Source organism: Homo sapiens, chromosome X (genome assembly GCF_000001405.40).
Source record: "Homo sapiens chromosome X, GRCh38.p14 Primary Assembly".
Lineage (NCBI taxonomy): Eukaryota > Metazoa > Chordata > Mammalia > Primates > Hominidae > Homo > Homo sapiens.
The window spans coordinates 150828523-150850457 of NC_000023.11; the positions used below are offsets into that span (position 1 = coordinate 150828523).

At 41.4% G+C, this 21935-nt stretch overlaps 1 protein-coding gene across 7 annotated transcripts in view; it reads right to left on the minus strand.

Moving 5' to 3' along the window:
* CD99L2 (CD99 molecule like 2) overlaps positions 1-21935 on the minus strand; it is a 132333-nt gene that overhangs the window by 62187 nt on the left and 48211 nt on the right. For 6 of the 7 annotated variants that reach the window (NM_134445.4, NM_134446.4, NM_001184808.2 and 3 more), the window contains exon 2: positions 2709-2771. In NM_134445.4, coding sequence (NP_604394.1) covers positions 2709-2771 — 63 coding nt within the window. Of the gene's footprint in view, positions 1-992; positions 1083-2708; positions 2772-21935 lie in introns of all 7 variants that reach the window. The other variant, XM_047442562.1, reaches the window with a different exon arrangement.

Sequence of the window (21935 nt, forward strand, 5' to 3'; positions counted from 1 at the left end):
TCAATATATAATACAAAGAGATCTTAATAAACCCATTTTTAAAAGGCAAGCAATCTGGCAGAAAAATGGGGGAAGAATGTGAACAATTTACCAAAGAGGCAAATGCAAATGGCCAGTAAATATATGATGCTCCATTTGACTACAATCAGGGGAATGCATAATAAGCAATGAGATATTATTTTGTCCATCATATTGGTAAAATATTTTTATTGATAAAATTCAGTGTTGGCGTGGGTCTGGGAAAACAGGTACTATTATAACAACATCAGTGACAGTGCATAATGGCAAATCCACTTTGGAAAACAATTTGGCAGCGTTTTTTATAATATAAAAAACACATATCTTTGGTCCTAGCAGTCACAATGCACTTAGGCACAAAGGACATGGACAAGAATGTCCACTGTAGCCCTATTTGTAATTGCATAAAAAGGAAATAAACCACGTGTCTGCCAGTAAGGAAATGGCAATACAGGTCATGGCCAAATCCACACTACTGGAACGCTGGCTCCACAAGGCACAGGTTTATGTGTGATTTGTCCATGGCTGTAGCCCCAAAGCCTAAAACAGTAACTGATACACAGCTGGCACTCAGACATTTACTGAATGCATACTATGGCATACCGTGCAGTGCTTAAAACGAATAAGGGATGTGTGTATATATATATGCGCACATATATGTATGTGTATATATATTATATATCTATAAATATATATTTCCTTATTTGGAAAAAGGATCTCTGCAGATGTAATTAAGTGAAAGATCTCAAGATGAGATCATCCTGGATTATCCAGGTGGGCCTTAAACCCACTAACAAGCATCTTTGTAAGAGAAAGGAGAGAGACACAGAAAGGGGAACACCACGTGACAACAGAGGCAGAGATTGGAGTGATGCAACCACAAACCAAGGAACACCTAGAGCCACCAGAAGTGGGGAAAGTCAAGGAAAGATTCTTCCCTAGAGCCTTCAGAGAGAATGTGGCCCAACCAACACCTTGATATAGAACTTCTAGCATCCAGAACAGTGACAGAATAAAGTTCTGTTGTTTTAAGCCATCTAGTTTGTGGTACATTCCTAAGGCAGCTGGAAAAAACCAACATAGACATGTTCTCTAAGGATTTCAATACACATTAAATGAAAGAGCCTCACACCTGTTAACATTAAAAAAACAAAAAAAAAGACCAAACAATTTCTATCTGTAGATGCACCTAACAGCATTGAAAACTAATTGGGATCAACATGCCCCAAACTGACTACAGTAGTTCTCATGTCAGTTAGAAGGGAGAAGGGTCAAGGGAAACCTTGGCTTTACTTTATAAGTAGTTATCATTTTTTAAAAGAATGGTTTAAGGAGGCCAGGCGTGGTGGCTCACACCTGTAATCCCAGCACTTTGGGAGGCTGAGGCGGGCGGATTGCCTGAGCTCAGGAGTTTGAGACCAGCCTGGGCAACACGGTGAAATCCCCTCTACTAACATACAAAAAACTAGCTGGGCGTGGCGGTACGCACCTGTAGTCCCAGCTACTTGGGAGGCTGAGGCAGGAGAATTGCTTGAACCTAGGAGGGGGAGGTTGCAGTGAGCTGAGATTGCGCCACTACACTCCAGCCTGGGTGACAGAGCGAGACTCTGTCTCCAAAATAAATAAATAAACAAATAAATAAAGTTAAAAAATGAAAAAAAAAAGGAAAATTGATAACAAAGCTTAGCATTTGAGAAACTACACAGACTCCATTTTAAGAAAAGCCATGACTAGGTGTGGTGGCTAATGCTCATAATCTCAGTATTTTGGGAGGGCAAAATGGGAGAATCACTTAAGGCCACGAGTTCAAGACCAGCTTGGACAAAACAGTGAGATTCTGTCTCCACAAAAAAATTTAAAAATTAGCCAGGTGTGGTAGCACACACCTATAGTTCCAGCTACTTGGAAGGCTGGGATGGAAGGATCACTTGAGCCTAGGAGTTTATGGCTACAGTAAAGCTAAGATGGTGCGTGCCACTGTACTCCAGCTTGGGCAATAGAGTAAGATCCTGTGTCAAGAAAAAAAAAAAGCCATTATAAAATCAATCTAAAAGGAGAAACAAATCTTTTATTCACTTCAAAGTGCCTTTTTTTCTGAGTTAAGGAAGACAGCCCTTGGAGGCCACTGCTGATATGTCACACCAGTAGGGGCTATGACTTGAGCTACAGAAACTGATATATCAGTTATCACACATTGTTAGGTATTCTTAACAAAGGATTTAAATATTCAAATTTTATTTTAAATAATACAACCATTTCTTTTCTTTTCTTTTCTTTTCTTTTTTGAGACGGAGATCTTGCTTCATCACCCAGGCTGGAGTGCAATGGTGTGATCTTGGCTCACTGCAACCTCCACCCCCCGGGTTCAAGCAATTCTCCTGCCTCAGCCTCCCGAGTAGCTGGTATTATAGGCATGCAATACCACACCCGGCTAATTTTTGTATTTTTAGTAGAGACAGGGTTTCACCATGTTGGCCAGGCTGGTCTCGAACTTCTGACCTCAAGTGATCCTCCCACCTTGGCCTCCCAAATTGCTGGGATTACAGGCGTGAGCTACCGTGTCCGGGCACTATCCATATTTCATCTGATCAAGTAAAATATATCATTTTTCTTGCGCATATATTCTGAGTGGATGATACACATTAATCACTACTGTTTGTTTTTAATAGTTTATTTGATTTACTACTCACGCTTTACTGAGGAAGTTTCTTTCACTGCATCCTCCAGGTTAAAATCATCAAAGTCCCCAGATCCTAAAAATTAAAAAAAAAAATTAAACTATCTTTGCATAAAACAAAGTAATAATGAAATATCCTCTAGAAATGGTCATTTCCCTTTAGAAAGTGAAGGAATAACAAAAGGTATTCCATGCAAATAGAAACCCAAAGTGAGTGGTGGTAGCTATACTTACATCAGACAAAATAGAGGCCAGTATTGTTAGCAAACTACTATAGGAACAGAAAATCAAGTACCACATATTCTCACTTATAAGTGGGACTAAATGATGAGAACACATGAACACATAGAGGGGAACAACACACACTGGGGCCTATTGGAGAGTGGAGGGTGGGAGGAGGGAGAGGGTCAGGAAAAATAACCAATGGGTGCTAGGCTTATTACCTAGGTGAGGAAGTAATCTGTACAACAAACCCCCATGATACAAGTTTACCTTTATAACAAACCTGCACATGTATCCCTGAACTGAACATAAAAGTAAAAAAAAGAAAAATAGACTTTTAAAGTCAAAAACTGTAAAAAGAGACAAAGAAGGTCATTATATGCTAAAGGGGTCAATTCATTAAGAAAGTATAACAATTGTAAATATATGCACACCCAACATTGAAGCACCTAAATATATAGAGCAAATATTAATAAATCTAAAGAGAGAGAGAGACTGCAATGCAATAATAGTAGAACACTTCAATACCTTACTTTCAACATTGAACAGATCATCTAGACAGAAAATCAATAAGGAAATATTGGACTTGAACTACACTTTAGACCAAATGAACCTAACAGATATTTACAGAACATTCCAACCAACAGCAACAAAATACACACTCTTCTCAAGTGCACACGAAACATTCTCCAGGATAGATCATATGTTAGGCCACAAAACAAGTCTTTACAAATTTAAGAAGACTGAAATCATATCAAGTATCTTTTCTGACCAAAATAGCCAGAAACTAGAAATAAACAACAGAAGAAATCTTGGAACACTCACAAATATGTGGAAATTAAACAATCAACAGGTCAAAGAAGAAATTAAAAGGAAAATTTAAAAATATCTTGAGACGGCCAGGTGCAGTGGCTCACGCCTGTTATCCTAGCACTGTGGGAGGCCAGGCCAAGGTGGGTAGATCACTTGAGGTCAGGAGTTTGGTACCAGCCTGGCCAACATGGTGAAACTCTGTCTCTATCAAAAACTACAAAAATTAGCTGGGTGTGGTGGTGCATGCCTGTAATCCCAGCTATTCATCTCAATAGATGCAGAAAAAATCATTTGATTCATTCAATAGTGAAGAGTTAAAAGCTTTTCCTTTAAGATCAGGAACAAGACAACAATGCCCACTCTCACTACTCCTATTCAACAGAATAAGTTATATCCAGAGCAGTTAGGCAAGAACAAGAAATAAAAGGCCTCTCTGTAGGAAAGGAAGAAGGTAAATTGTCTCTCTTTGCAAATGACATGATCTTATGTGTAGAAAAGCCTAAAGACTCCACCAGGGCCGGGCGTGGTGGCTCACGCCTGTAATCCCAGCACTTTGGGAGGCCGAGGCGGGCAGATCACGAGGGCAGGAGATCGAGACCATCCTGGCTAACACGGTGAAAACCCGTCTCTACTAAAAATACAAAAACAAAAAATTAGCTGGGCATGGTGGCGGGTGCCTGTAGTTCCAGCTGCTCAGGAGGCTAAGGCAGGAGAATGGCATGAACCCAGGAGGCAGTGCTTGCAGTAAGCCGAGATCGCGCCACTGCACTCCAGCCTGGGCGACAGAGCGAGACTCTGTCTCAAAAAAAAAAAAAAAAGACTCCACCAGAAAACTATGAGAACTGATAAACAAATTTAGTAAAGTAGCAGGTTACAAAATCAACATACAAAAATCAATAGCATTTCTATATTTGAACAATGAACTGTCTGAAAAAAAGAAACAATCCCATTTATAATAACATCAAAAAAGAAAATACTGAGTAGCAAACTTAACCAAGGAGGTAAAAGACCCGTACCTCCTAACCTGTACCTTGAAAACCATAAAACAATGATGAAAAATGAAAAACACAAATGAAAATATATCCCATGTTCATGTATTAGAAGAATATTGTTAAAATGTCTATACTGACCAAAGTGATCTACAGATACGATGTAATTTTTATCAAAATTCCAATGTCATTTTTCACAGAAATGGAAAAAAATCCTAAAATTTGTATGGAACCAGAAATGACCCCCAATAGCCAAAGCAATCTTGAGCAAAATGCACAAAGCTGGAGGCATCACACTTCTTGATTTCAAAATATATTATAAAGCTATTGTAATCAAAACAGCATGGTACTGGCATAAAAACAGACACATGAACTAATGGAACAGGATAGAAAGCACCAAAATAAACTCAAATATTTACAGTTAATTGATCTCCAACAAGGACAGTCTCTTCAGTAAATGATGTAGAGAAACTGGATATGCACATGTGGAAGAATGAAACTGGACCCCTATCTCATACCATATACAAAAATTAACTCAAAATGAATAAAAGACTTAAATGCAAGACCTGAAACTGCAAAGCTACTAGAAAAAAACACAGGGAAAAAGTTGCACAACGTTAGTCTGGGCAACCATTTCCTAGATAAGACTCCAAAAGCACAGGCAACAAAAGTGAAAGTAGACAAATGAGACTGAATAAAACTAAAAAGTTTCTGCACAGCAAAGGAAACAGAGTAAAAAGACAACCCATGGATTAGGAGAAAATATTTGCAAACCATACATCTGAAAAGGGGTTAATATCCAAAATATATAAGGAACTCAACTCAATAGCAAGAAAACAAATAACCCAGTTAAAAATGGGCAAAGGCAAAGGAGCTTCTCAAAAGAAGAGATATGAATGGTCAACGGGTATATGAAAAAATGCTCAATATCTCTAATCATCAGGGAAACACAAATTAAAACCAAAATGTGGGCTGGGCACAGTGGCTCATGCTTGTAATCCCAGCACTTTGGGAGGCCAAGGCAGGCAGTTCACGAGGTCAAGAGATTGAGACCATCCTGGCCAACATGGTGAAACCCCGTCTCTACTAAAAATACAAAAATTAGCTGGGCGCGGTAGCATGTGCCTGTAGTCCCAGCTACTCGGGAGGCTGAGGCAGGAGAATCTCTCGAACCAGAGATGCAGAGGTTGCAGTGAGCTGAGATCGCGCCACTGCACTCCAGCCTGGTGATAGAGCAAGACACCATCTCCAAACAAAACAAAACAAAAACAAAAACAAACAAAAATGTGATGTCATCTTACATCTGTTAGAATGGCTATTATGAAGAAGACAAATGATATTTGTTGGTGAGGATATGGAGAAAAGGGAACACTTGCACAAGTTGTTAGGAATGTAAATTAGTATAGCCATTTTGGAGAATGGTATGGAGGTTCCTCAAAAAAACAAAAAATGAAATTATCATATAATTCAGAAATCAGTCCCAGTTCTGTGTGTGTATTAATATCCAAAGGAATTGAAATCACGATTTTAAAGAGATATCTGTACTCCCATGTTCATTTTGGTTTTACTTACACTATCAAAGGTATGGAAGCAACCTAAGTGTCCATTAACAAATGAATGGATAAAGAAAATGTGGTACATATATAAATGGAGTACTATACATCCTTTAAAAAGAAGGAAATTCTGTCACTCATGACAATGTGGATGGAACTGAAGGACATTATGCTAAGTGAAATAAGCCATGCACAGAAATACAAATATTGTATGATCTCACTTAGATGTGGAATCTAAAAAAGTTGATCTGACAGAAATAGTAGAAAGGTAGCTAACCAGAGGCTGAGGGGAGGGAGAAGTATGGGGAAAGGGAAAGTGTTGATTAAAGAACACAAAGTTTCAGTTAGACAGGAGGAATTAAGTTTTAGCAACCTATTGCACTGCATGGTGACCACAATTAATAATAATGTATTGTATATTTTAAAATTGCTAATAGACTTTTACAATTCTCACTACAACAAAATAAGTTTGTGAGATAATGGATATGTTAATTAGCTTGAATGAATCTTACTACACACATTGTACCCTATAAATACATACAAAGATTATTTGTCAATTAAAAATAAATGTTAAAAATTATTTTTATTAGCCCGGCATGGTGGTGCACGCCTGTAGTCCCAATTACTTGGAAGGCTGAGGAAGGAGGATCGCTGGAGGCTAGGAGTTTGAGGTTACAGTGAGTGTGTATTGCTCTCTAGCATGGGCGACAGAGTGAGGCCCTGTCTGTAAAAAGCAACGATAACAAAACAAAGATTTTAAAATTTAACTGTCTTTGTATGAAACAAAATAATACTGAAATTCTCTCCTGAAATGGTCATGGCCCTTTAGACAGTGTCATGAATGTAACTCCACAAAAGGGAAATCTGTCAAAGCCACTCAAAGATATACTGAGCTGATAGCCTTCCTCAAACAACCTATCTATCCCCACCAAAAATAAAAATTAAAAAATAAAAACAAAACAAAACCCCAAGCTTCAGTCCACTAGAATGTTGAAGGCTCAGGTGTTTCGAACATGAAGTACTATCTCACAGAAAACCTTCTCCATAGAGAAGTAAGAGGGGTCATTGGAGCCCACAGCTCCACTGATGAGGGGCCAAGTTCTTCCACCCCACCCCAGGTCTCACAAAGGCTACTCTATACTTTGTCAATCCAGGGTACCTTCTCTCCGATCCCCAGTACCCCACCTAGACTAGAGGCTCTGGCTAATCACACATAACTGAAAAAGCTCTGGGGAAAAGTTTTTCACAATAGAATTTGTCCTCACAAGTGGACCCATCTGCCCAACCTAGCGTCCTACTGAACTTGATAGCTACTGTTTCCTCTAGATGGGCACGTAGTTTGTCATAAGGGTGTATAGCTTATCAGTTCTCAAGCAAACCATTATGCATGCATACTGGAATTGACCTAAGTAAATGGATAGGGGATGGTGGGAGCCAGGTTTCTCACTATCAGAGAGAGAGGTTACAGATAAGAGGGGCAGGCTAAAATGACCCATACAAAAATGGATTAGAGTAGGAGACTTTAAGCTAAGTATGAAATCATATTTAGCTTAATTTTTTTTTTCCGAGATGGAGTTTCGCTCTTGTTGCCGAGGCTGGAGTGCAATAGCGCAATCTCAGCTCACCAGGTTCAAGCGATTTTCCTGCCTCAGCCCCCCAAGTAGCTGGGATTACAGGCGTCTGCCACCACGCCCAGCTAATTTTGTATTTTTGGTAGAGATGGGGTTTTTCCATGTTGGTCAGGCTGGTCTCGAACTCCCAACCTCAGGTGATCTGCCCGCCTCAGCCTCCCGAAGTGCTGGGATTACAGGTGTGAGCCACTGCACCCGGCCTAGCTTAATATTAACATAGTCATGTGTTGCTTAGCAACAGGGATACGTTCTGAGATGTGTTTGTTACACTTTTACCATTTTGTTATGCAAACATCATAGGGTGTCCTTACACAAATCTAGATGGTGTAGCCTACTACACACCTAGGCTGTATGGTAGAGCCTATTTCTCCTAGCCTACAAACCTGTACAGCATGTGACTGTACTGAATACTGTAGGCAACTATAACACCATGGTATTTGTGTATCTAAACACAGAAAAGGCACAGTAAAAATAAAGTATTATAATCTTATGAGCCCAACATTGTATATGTGGCCTGTCAACCAAAATATCACCATGTGGCACGTGACTATAAACAGATAGCTATATACAGAAATATTTATAGCCATGAGTATATATATGGGTTAGTATAAAGACATATATTCCCTTGCTCTGTCAACTGGACGGGGCTGGAAGCAACAACACTCCGTAGCAATGAGCACATCTAGCACCCAGGTCTTCGTCTCTAATCCTACTCTCCAAAAAGGGAACCAGGGGTCCTTGGCTGATTTGACTGGGACAGAAAATATGTAAGATGAGCTTGAATCTTGAAGCATCTTGAGGTGCCAGAAAGTAAGAAAGTATTATTATTTTTTTTTTTTTTGAGACGGAGCTTTGTTCTTGTCAGCCAGGCTAGAGTGCAATGGCACAATCTTGGCTCACTGCAACCTCCGCCACCCAGATTCAAGCAATTCTCCTGTCTCAGCCTCCTGAGTAGCTGGGATTACAGGCACCCGCCACCACACTTGGCTAATTTTTGTATTTTTAGTAGAGACAGGGTTTCACTATGTTGGCCAGGCTGGTCTCGAACTCCTGACCTCTAGTGCCGCCCACCTTGGCCTCCCAAAGTGCTGGGATTACAGGCGTGAGCCACTGCACCCGGCCTGGAAGTATTTTTAAAAATCACATCAATTGGTATCTGTCAAAGGGGCACAGGAACCAACTGAAAGAGCTCCCAGTGGCTATGGCTGGAATAAATTTTTAAAGACTTTTTTCAGGACGGATATTAGCTGGAACAATTTGAAGAACAAAATAAAGTAGTATTGGGTTATAACCCCAAGTATAACATAAGTATCTACGAGTCCATGCTGAATGAATAAGTGATTACATAAATAAACAAAAGAGAGAGAATAGACAAATCTCTCATACAGAATAATTCAAATTCATTTCTGTAGCTATCTGTCTCTCATGGAGGTGAAGCACAATTCACCACTCCCTACGTATTAGCCACACATAGTAACTTCCTTCCCAAGATTACAGTATGATAAAGGGGAAATAGAAAAACTTTACTCTTTACAGAGGAGAAACCTGACAAACACTACCTGAGCCGGGTGACCAAGGTCAACATGTACAATGATGAGTCCTGTTGACAGTATGTTCCCTTGATATAATGTGACAGGATGTGATGTGCATGGCACTTTGCCTCTGTGGTCTTTCTTTCAAAACCCCGTAACTCCAGTCTAATCATGACAAAAACATCAAATAACTCCTGACTGGGGGGTGCTGTACAAAATAGCTGACCAATCTTCAAAATCACCAAGGTCATTAAAACCAGAGTTTGAGAAACCGGCATAGCCTGAGAAGCTTAAGAAGACGTAAGGACTGACAGTCACATGGATTAGATTGGATCCTGGATTGGATTCTGGAACAGAAGAGGGCTTTACATAAAAACTGAGGAAATCTGAATAAAGTATAGACTTTAGTTAATAATAGTATATCTATATTGGTTCATTAACTGTGACAAATGCATCATGCTAATATAAAATGTTAATAGGGAAAACTGGATATGAAGCATATGGGAACTCTGTCCTAGCTTTGCAATTTTTCTGTATATCTAACTGTTCAAAAATAAAACTTATTTTAAAAAATCAATTTCTTATAGCAAAACCAATTAGGGGCAACTGCTAAATGAAGAGATCCAGGATATATAACCTCAAAACCCATTTAAGGGGAAAAAATAAAAGGACAATAGCAACAACCAAAACTCAGTCAACCCAACAAAAGTCACCAGAGGTTAAAAAAAAAAAAAAAAAGAACTATGATAAATAGAAAACAAACTTTTTGGGTTTTTTTGTAGAGATGGGGTCTCACTATGTTGCCTAGGCTGGTCTCCAACTCCTAGTCTCAAGCAATCCTCCGGCCTTGGCCTTCCAAAGTGTTGGGACTACAGGCATGAGCCACCATGCCCAGCGGAAAACATGAACTTTAACATAGGAATACGTATAATCATATCAGTAAAAAAAAAAAAAAAAAAATGGGGGGGGGGGTGTAAATAGGCTAAATCTCCCATTACAAGACAAATGAGATTAAAAGATATCTAACTATAGGCTATTGATAAAATGTACATTTAAAACAAAATGGCAAAAAAATGTAGAGAATGAACAAATATATACCAGGCAAACACTAACAGGAAGGAAACAGATATGATATTAATATAAGATAAAATTCAAGACCCAAAGCTCAAAGTAGGAAAAGAGCAATATTTTATGGAAATAAAGCATATAATATACCAGTAAATAAAAGTTATGGCACTTAATAACCTAGCTTCCAAAATTCTAAGGTAGACTTTTGCTTCTTGCTATGAGAATAACTGGGATCAGACCCGCCTTTCCACTGTAAATCATAAAATGAACAAAACCCATGAGGCAAAATCAGCACTGAACAAGAAAGTAGTGAGAGCCTGCAATCCTTGAGATTAGGGAAATTGTAACAGCTAAATCCAACAGGTGATCTAGGATTGGATCCTGAACCTATAAAGGCCATTACTGGGACAATCAGCAAAGTTAAATTAGGTCTGTAGACCAGCTAGATGATAATACTGATCACTGTCAATTTCTGGTCTTGATGGAAATACTGTAGTCAGGAAGAGAGTATCCTTGTTTTTAGAAACTGCATACTGAAGTATCAAGAGGTAATAGGTATAGGCTTGGTACAGTAGCTCATGCCTGTAATCCCAGCACTTTGGAAGGCTGAAGCGGGAGAATTGCTTGAGCCCAGGAGTTCAAGACCAGCCTGGGTAACATAGGGAGACTCCATCTCAACAACCACAACAACAACAACAAAAATTTAAAAATTAGCCTGGGGTTGGGGGACCAGGTATGGTATCTCATGCCTATAACCCCAGCACTTTGAGAGGCTGAGGTGGGAGGACTCCTTGAGCCCAGGAGTTCAAGACCAGCCAAGGCCACATAGTGAGACCTCATCTCTACTAAGAATAAAAAAAAAACTAGCTGGGTGTGGTGGTGCATGCCTGTAGTCCCAGCTACTTGGGAGGCTAAGGTGGGAGGATCACTTGAGCCCAGGAGGTTGAAGCTTCAGTGAGCTATGATCATACTACTGCACTCAAGCCTGGGCAACAGAGTAAGACTCCGTCTCAAAGAAAAAAAAAATTAGCTGGGCATGGAGGCACATGCTTGTACGCCCAGCTACTCTGGAGGCTGAGGCTGGGGGGATCACTTGAGTCTGAGAGGTTGAGGCTGCACTGAGCCTTGACAATGCCATTGCACTCCATCCTGGGTGCCAGAGGGAGACCCTACCTCAAAAAGAAAAAAGAAAAAAGAAAGAAAGAAAGAAAAAGAAAGAAAAAAAAGAAAAAAGAAAGAAAAAAAGGTAATGGATCTAATGTTTGCAACTAATTCTGAAATGGTTCAGGAAATTCATACACACACACATGCACGTGGGGTGGGGAGAACACATACATATACAGAAAATGTGATAAATCTGGAAAATTTAGGTGAACAACATATATAAACTTTTTTTTTTTTTTGAGACAGGGTCTGGCTCTGTCACCCAGGTTGGATTGCAGTGGTGCAATCATGGCTCCTGCAGCCTCAACCTCCTGGGTTCAAGTGATCTTCCCACCTCAGCCTCCCAAGTAGCTAGGAACACAGGCACATGCCACCATGCCTAACTTTTTTGTATTTTTTGTAGAGATGGGGTCTCACTATGTTGCCCAAGCTGGTCTCAAACTTCTGAGCTCAAGCAATCTGCCTGCCTCAGCCTCCCAAAGTGCTGGGATTACAGGCATGAGCCACTGCACCCAGTCAAGAACTCTTTGTATTAATAATAGACATTATTGGGACAATTGTTAAAACTTGGATGGGGTCTGAGGATTTAGTGGTAATAAGGTATCAGTGTTAGTGTCCTGATTCTGATGGTTGCATTGTAGATATGTAAGAAGATGTCCTTATTTGTAGGAAATGCACTCTAATATATTGGGGGTGGGGGTGATAAGGCATTAGGTAACCAATTTACTCTCAAGTGGCTTGGTGGGGGAAAAAAAAGTTCCTTGCACTGTACTTGCCAATTTTCTGAAAGTTTATAATTATTTCAACATTAAAAAATTAAAATATGCAAATACTTCAACCCAGCAATTCAATTTCTAGGTACCTGTTACAGACAAATACTAGAAACACGTACCCAAAGAAGTATGGACAAGGATGCTTACAACAGGAAAAAGAAATGGAAACAGTCCAAGTGTTCAGCAAAGATGACTGGTGAAATGAAATATGGCTCTTCCATACAATTAATGATTGTGTAGCTGTTAAAAAGAATGGGATAAGCCTATAATAGTGGCATGCAAGAGATCTCCACAATACACTAATAAATAAAGCAAAGTGCAGAGAAGTATTTTTCCATTTGCGTGTCTGTATCCATATCTATATCCATAAACATCTTCTGGAAGTTTACACAGGGAAACTGGTAACAGTAGTTATGTTTAGGGAATGAGAGTAACGGTCAGGGGAAGGGAGAGGGAGCATTTTACATTAATTTAAACTCTTTTCTGCCTTTTTGTTTTCAATCCATGTACGTGTATTTCTCCTAAAAGTTCTACATCAATCCCTCCAAAGCCATAAGCCTACCATCTCAATGGGTCTTCCTTCAAATCTCTATCTCTGCTTCCTCACCCAAGAATTGCAAAAGTAGGTTCTCTGAAATGACATCTTACACAATAAGACGTTTTTAGCCTCAGCCATTCCCCCTACTGCTTGCTCATATATCCTGCTACATGTCATCGGGTAAATATGTTAAGAGGAACATAACACAATGTTGTGCTATGTACCCATCCCTTGTTGACCTTGGATTCAACAGACTCAAACTATCTGTGGATAAAACCATTCAGTTTCAATCTAGATCCTGAGCTATTAAGATGTCTTCAAAGCCCACAAGCAAGCACAGTTGCTAAAATCAAGTTCAGAAGAAATATTCTCAGGAGATACAATGCACCTCAAAAGGTGCAAAATAGGGTCATGTTCTATACCCCTTCTATGCAAGCTATTAACTAAACTCAGTTTTGGATGCAGGCAGACCACAGTCCTCTGTGTTAGTGACACAGACTAACCCTCTGGCACCAACACGCATTAGAAAACAGCTGATTCACCATAGGCTCAATTCACAACCCGCAGTCCCTGTATCTGGGCAGCCAGTATTCAAGTATTCAGCAGAAAATTACTTCCACCGCAGAGGGCCACCAAGAATTCCTTTTAATGTAAAAAGCACCTAATGAGCTGATAATACTTCTCTGAAAATGTCCTTTGGCAATGTTGCCCATGGACTTGTGCATGTCCTTGAGAAGATTAATTTCATAAGAAAAGTGCTGTTTCCACCCACAGACACTCCAACAGCCAGTGTCTGTCCTGGAGTAGATTTTGTCCCTTTGGGAAGGAACACAAGCTTGACCTCATGTTGCAATTTGACCCAACAGGACTGGCATCTAAAGCTAAGGCTAAGGGTGCACTTCAATAAAGGCTGTAAAACAAGGCACAGCTGCCCTTGTTAGAGAATTCCACCCTGAACTGGCTGTGATCCAGCACCTGCCAATGCCTGATTGAAACGTCTGATCCTTGAGAGAGATCATTTGATGGGCCCCTTAAGTAGCCTTTCATTTGGATTTCATTAATTATTCATTCCCTCCTCTGTTGTTGCTATCCACTCCACTCAGTTCATCCTGAAAGTACAGCCATTCCAGTTAAGTGTTTTTGTGTGTCCTCTCTCTAGACTCGCCCCACTTAACATGGTAGCCACTAGCCACATGTGGCCGTTTAAATTAAAATTAGCATTCGATAATTTTTTTAAATTCTGCTTCTTTATTGCACTAACCATATTTCAATGCTTGATAGCCACATGCAGCAGGTAACTACTGTGTTTGACAGCACAGACAGAGAACATTTCCATCATCACAGAAAGTTCCATAGGACAGTGCTGCTCTAGACAGTGAGCTGCCTTAAGCAGGGACTGGCGCTTGGTAATCTCCATGCCAACACCACACACAGACCTGGCAGCAAGAAAGCATTTCCTAAAGGTGTGTTCATTTTGATTACCAAAACTCTGTCACCAGTAGATAGTACCTGATATTACTTTGTGACAAAATCCATTTGGATTTCATGCCAAGAGCAAGCATCTCTGCAGAGGAACGTGTCTGCTGCCTGCTGCTGGATTAATAACTGCAGAGGCAGCTGGGACCCCTGGCTGCCAAAGATTTCAGACGCAAAGTAGGGATTCTAGCAGGGAGATTGGCACCTCTCAAGTGGCCAGTTACATTTATTTCCCCTGCTCTCTAAGGATGGTTTCTATTCTACCTTCTTCCTTTGTACATGTAAGCAGTTTACAATTTGGGGGGAAGATGGGCCAGTATAAATCCTAAGTGAGTGAATACTCACCTAAACTGCATCGGTTTTTAAATTTTAAAATCCTGACCCTTTTCTGGGCTGGGCACAGTGGCTCACGCCTGTAATCCCAGCACTTTGGGAGGCCGAGGCGGGCAGATCATGAGGTCAGGAGTTATAAGACCAGCCTGGCCAACATAGTGAAACCCCGTCTCTACTAAAAATACAAAAAAATTAGCTAGGCATGGTGGCGGGCGCCTGTAGTCCCAGCTACTTGGGAGGCTGAGGCAGGAGAATCGCTTGAACCCAGGAGGCAGAGGTTGCAGTGAGCCAAGATCATGCCACTGCACTCCAGCCTGGGCAATGCAGTGAGACTCTGTCTCAAAATAATAATAATAATAATAAAATAAATAATAAAATCCTGACCCTTTTCTGTAGATGAATAAGAAAGCATACCAGGGACATCTTAGTCTGGTAAATCATAGATGCATCATCTCAGGATTTTCCATTTCTCTGCCTTAATGGAGGCTAAGTACTCACACTATCCCTACGTTTGTCCAGGAAAGCCAGGACGCCACTCACCTGCCTGTCATCTGGGCTTACTGCCTGCACCTACACCACAAATTCAAGGGAATAGAGCTATTTATCAAAAAGGAAACCAACTTGGTCAATGGTGAGACCATTAACAAAAGCAAACAAGGCCCACTATAACATGGACCAGAATCAAAGTTGGACCTGAGGGATTGAATCGTGACCCAGCAAATGTGACAGTGGCACAAGCCTCTAGATCACTTGGGTTCAAGGAATAACACTCAAATCAGTCCCAGTAGATTGAGTCTGCTAATGGACGGGTGGGGAGCATAGCTTGATTCAACTTGAAATGAGCCATTTAATAAGAATGTTTCACCATCATATGATAAAGACCTCACCTGATGCAGCTGCTTGCAAAGACTTGCCTTTCCCCTGCCCTCTGGCAAGGGGGTGATTAATCAAAGGAAAGCCTGCAGGTCAGAAAAACAGCTTCACACCTCCCTGTCTACCATGGAAACATTCCTGGACACTGCTTGTGGGAAATCTATGCGACAAACTCACTGGTATGTATGGCCAATTCTACAAATGTCTCTTTGGTGAAAACAACTTCTCTCCCTTAACACAAACAAGTAGGTATCCCTCTCCCACCTTGTGCTAGAGAGGGTGGGGGCAAACCAAAAATGCTAGTTGTTAGTCCCCAGTTTCCCTGAATGTTTGCACCATTTTAACTCTTGTTACCTCAGTCTAGATTTGAACACATTTGTCTTGATGAATTTATGCTTTCACACCTCAAAGCATGCTGAGTAATTAATATCCTCTGGACTTGCTAAGCACTGCAGCATTGCAAGTGAACATGAAAATGGCTTTCCTCTTATTCTGATTACTAAATGGATTTAGCTATTGCCACCTGAGCTCCAAATAATTTCATGAATAAATTTAAATCACTCCCAGAGAGGACAACAATGACATGAAGCATTTCAGTCCACAACAGCCACAGCCACCAATCCACCTGCAGTGGCCATAAGAGGTCTGACCCGGTCACTGACAGGGCACCCGGTCACTGACAGGGTGACTCTTCCAGTCACCCACTATGGAAAGGAAAACATGATAAATAAGGGGTCACTGAGATGCAAGCGCCATGTCTAAAAGTCTTAAAGTGCTTTTACTTATTCCCGGGAAGTATCTAAGCGTCCGTATGTAGCAGGTTGCTTAATTTAAATGCAGGGGAAGGATTTTTTTTCTTTTTTAACAAATTGTATAAGTCACTTCGTTGATGAGTTTGTAATTGAAAGGCCAATTTCAATCTTCCTTTTCACACAGAAACGTAAATGTCTACAACGGTTGTTCACAAGGAAATCCCAAATGTGCCTCAGATGCCTGCAAGGATAACCTTTTCCAAGAAGTCAGAGCTGAGAGCTAGGGAACTACTTAGCAAAAGAAAAATGGAGTGGGTGCCAGGGGCTAGGGAGTGAAGGGAATGAAGACTGACTGCTAGAGGCTAAAGGGCATGGGGTTTCTTTTTCAGGTTGTGAAATGTTTTCTAGAACTAGATAGTGGTGATAGTTGCACAACATAATGAGTATATTAAACACAGAGTCGTGGGCTTTAAAATGGTGAATTTTATGTTTTGTGAATGATGCCTCAGTTTTTTAAAAATGGTGTTAGTGTGTCTCCATATACTGTCCCTGGCATTCCACTCTGTGGGGGAGTGCCCTGGGACCTCAGAGATCAGATGTCCTTTTTATGGGTGGGAGCCCAAGAGCCACAGTGGTTAATCATTAGGTAGCAGACATAGAAACTGCCCCAAAGCCAGAAGATGCAAGGTCTCGTCCCAGACTGCCACTCACTGACTGGGGGTCCTAGAGCAATCACTTGATCCCATAGGAGTGACCTGTTCCCCATGTGTAAAATGAAAGTGTCATACCTGATTACTCCTCCTCCCATGGTATAAGGTGGATGGCATGATAGAAATAAAACTAGCAAAGACAAATAAGGTGCTGTCATGATGTGTCACAAGGCTTAGGGTCCCATGATAACCCTATGACAAGTGGCACATTGCTCTCAGGGCCACAGTGTCTGTGAAGCAGTGCAAGATACTAAGTGCTTTGTTAGCTGGGCGCAGTGGCTCACGCCTGTAATCCTAGCACTTTGGGAGACTGAGGCAGGCAGATTACCTGAGCTCAGGAGTTCGAGACCAGCCTGGGCAACATGGCGAAACCCCGTCTCTACTAAAAATACAAAAAATGAGCCAGGCATGGTGGCATATGCCCGTAATCCCAGCTACTTGGGAGGCTAAGGCAGGAGAATCGCTTGAACCCGGAAGGCGGAGGTTGCAGTGAGCCAAGATTGTGCCACTGCACTCCAGCCTAGGCGACAGTGCGAGACTCTATCTCAAAAAAGAAAAAATAATAAAAATAACTTAAAAATAAAAATAAAAGATACTACATGTTTGTCAAAGGTGACACTGCTGGTGTCACACACACAATTGGGGCCAAGGTTTCCAAACTCTGGTCAAAGGCTGTTCCAGGGCAACACATGAGGATATCGGCACTGGTGACCAGCTTTGGAGCCAAACAGGCAGGATGCAGACACCAGCTCTGCCACTTAGCAGGAGAGACACCTTGCGCAAGGGACTTAACAGCGCTATACCTCAGTTTCCTCATCTATAAAATGGAGATAACAAGAGACCCTACTGCAGTGAGTTAATGTGAGGATTAAATAATCATTATATATAAAGCATTTAGCACAATATGTGACATAGGAATCCCTCAAATGTTAGCTAATATTATTATTAAATTTGGTATTAAGTAGAATCCACTAGTAAGTAGAAGGCCTTCAATAAATATGCATGAGTAAATGGCTTATAAGAGAATCATTAAAATGTTCAAAAGCTTAATGGATGAAGAGAGAAAAAAGCCACACTCTAATCTAAACTCACCCAGTGCTTGATAAGCCTTTAGATTCTACTGATACGACATAAGTTTGGGAAACTGAGGCACAAGAATGTAAGTGATTTGGACAAGGCCACCCCAAATCAGTCTGTTGACTAATAACAAATGCACATGGTATTTCCTTCCCCTGAAGGCAGCATAAACACCAATGGATCCTGTGTACTTTCTTAAGTCAGGTAAGAATCTATGTCTAGTTGGTGTTGCATGTATGAACATTTCCAAATCAGAGCCAGGCAGAGTGGAACAGGACCTCAGAAATCATCAAGATTTTCAGCCTTGCCATCTGGCCAGGCCAATGCAGAGGGAGAAAGGCGCTGAGCACGAGGCACCTCCTACCCTGTATCCCCAACCCAGACCTTTGTCCTCAATTCCAATCCTGCAGGTCCTGCTACCCAGGGGAGATTTCCATAGCACCTCCAAGGAAGCATGTCCTGAATTGGACTCTGTCTTCCCTTGTGCTAGTAATCCTGGTCCAGCTATCCTTGTGCTAGTAATACCCAGTCTTAACTACTGTTGTGTTGTAGTAAGTTTTGAAATGGGGAAGTGTGAGTCTACCAACTTTGTGCCTGTTTTTCAAGCTTGTTTGGCTATTTTGGGTCCCTTGGATTTCTGTATGAATTTTAGGATCAGCTTGTCAATTTCTGCAAAAAGACAGCTGGGATTCTGATAGGGATTGTGTTGAATCTGTAGTTCAATTTGGGAAGTATCATTCCATCTATTTTTAAACATGCTCAAATCTCTCCCATTTTAACTAGAAAACCCTCTTTTGACTGTACATCCCCATCTTGATACTGCTTTCTCTCCCACCCCTTCATAACCAAACTCATAAAATGACTATCTATCCTTGCTGTATCTGCTTGCTCCCTCTCAAATCACTCCTCAGTATCTCACAGCCAGCTCCCACTCAGAATCCACAAAACTAAATGCCAAGCCCTGGCTCTCCAACCTAGACCCTTTTCCTGAGTTCCCTGTTTGTTTCACTGAATGGCACAGCCACCCACTGCATTGTCCAAGCCAGAAAGCTGTACACTGTCCCGACATCTTCTCCTTCATTCTCCATAGCCACCCTGTCACCAAGAACTGTCAATTCCACCCCCAGCACATGCACAAAGCCCACCACTTTTCCACTGCCACTACCAAGCCAGGCAGCGATCATCTTTCCCCTGGACAGCCACAAGCACCATCCTCCTGCTCCTTCCAGGTCTATGCTCCATCCAATCCATTCTCCACACAGCAGGCAGGGAGTCCTCCTTTTTCCTTTTTAAACAAACTTCAAGGCACATCACTTCCCTGCTCAAAACTCCCAAAGGCCTCCTCACTACACTGAATATAAGCTCCATATGCCTAACTATGGCCTGCAGGCCCCCCCCCCCTTGTACTATACCTCTCACAGTATTACATAAATTATATTATTTGTTTTCAAATAATGTGTGTCCACTGTGAAAATCTTAGAAAATGCAGAAAAGAAGAAATAAAATAACGGCAAGTGGTTAACAATATGGGTGAACCTTGAAAACATTATGCTAAGTGTAATAAGTCAATCACAAGAAGGCAAATACTATATTCCCATTTTATGAGGTCCCTAGAGTAGTCAAATTCACAGAGATAGATGGTAGAATGATGACTGCCAGGGGCTGGGGAGAGTGGGAGATGGGAAATTGCTTAATGATTAGAGGTTCAGTTTTGCAAGATAAAAAAGTTATGGAGATTGGTTGTACAACAATGTGAACACCCTTAACACCACTAACAATACACTTAGAAATCATCTAAGATGGTAAGTATTATGTGGGTTCTTTTTCCACAATTTAAAAAAAAAAAAAAAAACAGCAAGTGATGCTTTTTAAAAATCAAAATTCAGAAAGACAAAGCCAATTATCTCAAGGCATGTTAACTTTGGACAGAATCTGAAATATCATCTAATTGACCATCCCTAAAATGCAGCAAAGTAATCTCCAGTGTATAATAGAGGTTCTCAGCCAGGGAGGATGAGCTGACCAACCTCAGAAACCTCCTCCCCCTCAGAATTCACTGGGCTGGGGACCCAGGCATGTGCTTTGGAAGTACATTCATTCGTTGGAAGAGTCACGTTTTTGGAAAGTTTTTTGTGTTGACCCCAAAACTGGCCAGTAGATTACCCTGGCACTACAAAGAATAAGTTTGTCCCCTGCTGTCGTATGCTCCTTTAGACATGTGGATCCCGTGCTAAGGGTCACTGGCTACCCGCACCAGGAGATCCTGTCTCCCCACCACAACCTCCACTTCAACCACTTCCTCCCTTTGACTTGTGCAACTTTTCTCCATGAACTTGTCCATGTGCGTCATACTGCCGGGAAACAGCTTGCTCAAATTCCCTTCCCAAATATACCTAATGGCAGACTGTGGCCTCTATCAACAATCACACTCAAATTCAACACCTGTGTACACAGTTAGGCGATGAAGCCCCAACAGCCGTTGGCACTTCTGTGGTGCTTTGTAAACACTGACTAAGCAATCTGGTGAGCAGCGTCAAAAACAGAATGAGGCCAGGCACGGTGGCTCATGACTGTAATCTCAGCACATTGGGAGGCCAAGGCAGGATGATTGCTTGAGCCCAGGAGTTTGAGACCAGCCTGAGCAACATAGTGAGACCCTGTCCCTATAAAATTTTTAAAAAATTAAAAATTAGCTGGGTATGGTAGTACATGCCTGTAGTCCCAGCTACTTGGGAGGCTGAGGCAGGAGGATTACTTGAGCCAGCCAGGGTGACAGGGTGAGACTCCATCTCTACAAAAAGTTTTTTAAAATTAGCCAAGTGTGGTGGCATACACCTGTAGTCCCAGCTACTCAGCAGGCTGAGGTGGGAGGATTGCTTGAGCCCAGGAGGTTGAGGCTGCAGTGAGCCATGACCGCACCACTGCGCTCCAGCCTGGGAGACAGAGGTAGACTCTGTCTCAAATTGAAACTATACAAAACAAAACACAGAATGAGCTAGCCCTTGTATATCAGTACATCCTGCTCCATAACCTTCTGAAGCCAGCTTGTCATGGAAGCAGGCAATCAGTCTGGCTCATTCCACACCACAAATCTTCCAAGTGAGTAAGAACCCACTGATTCCTGCATCTGTAGAAAATGGGAGATAGGATGTATGACAACTTCAAGGAACATTACTAGGCCCACATCTGCTTGATCTGGCCAACTAAATCCCTAAGCCAGTTCTATATAATATAAATTAAATAAGCATTTAATACTACGCAAAATAAAATTACAGCTATTCAGCTGACCTTTCCCCTTTTCCACTCTGTATTTGTGCCTGTTTACAAGCCCAGTGGGGAAGGTATGCCAAGAATAGAGATGTTCTGAGGACACAACAAGCCAATTAAAACAACAAAACAAAACAAAAAACTAGAAATGACAAATATCCTGCAAGTCTAGATTGTTGAACATGCCTGATCAGGTTGGAGAGGGAAGCAGGAGGAGCCCAAAGAAAGTCTCCTGTATGTCCTAAAGTGGAATCTAGCTTGCCTACTTTCTAAGCCACATTCCAGCCCACATGTGTCCCTTAAGACATGAACCAAGCCAGGCTTGGCAGCAGGCACCTCACCATTAAGGCCAGCTCAGCAGTGGCCATGCTCACCACTCAGAGCCCAGCAACTTAGTAGACCACGTTTATCCCCCAGTTTCACAGAACACATGCCCCTGACAGGGATCCCAAATTTCCCATCCCTACCT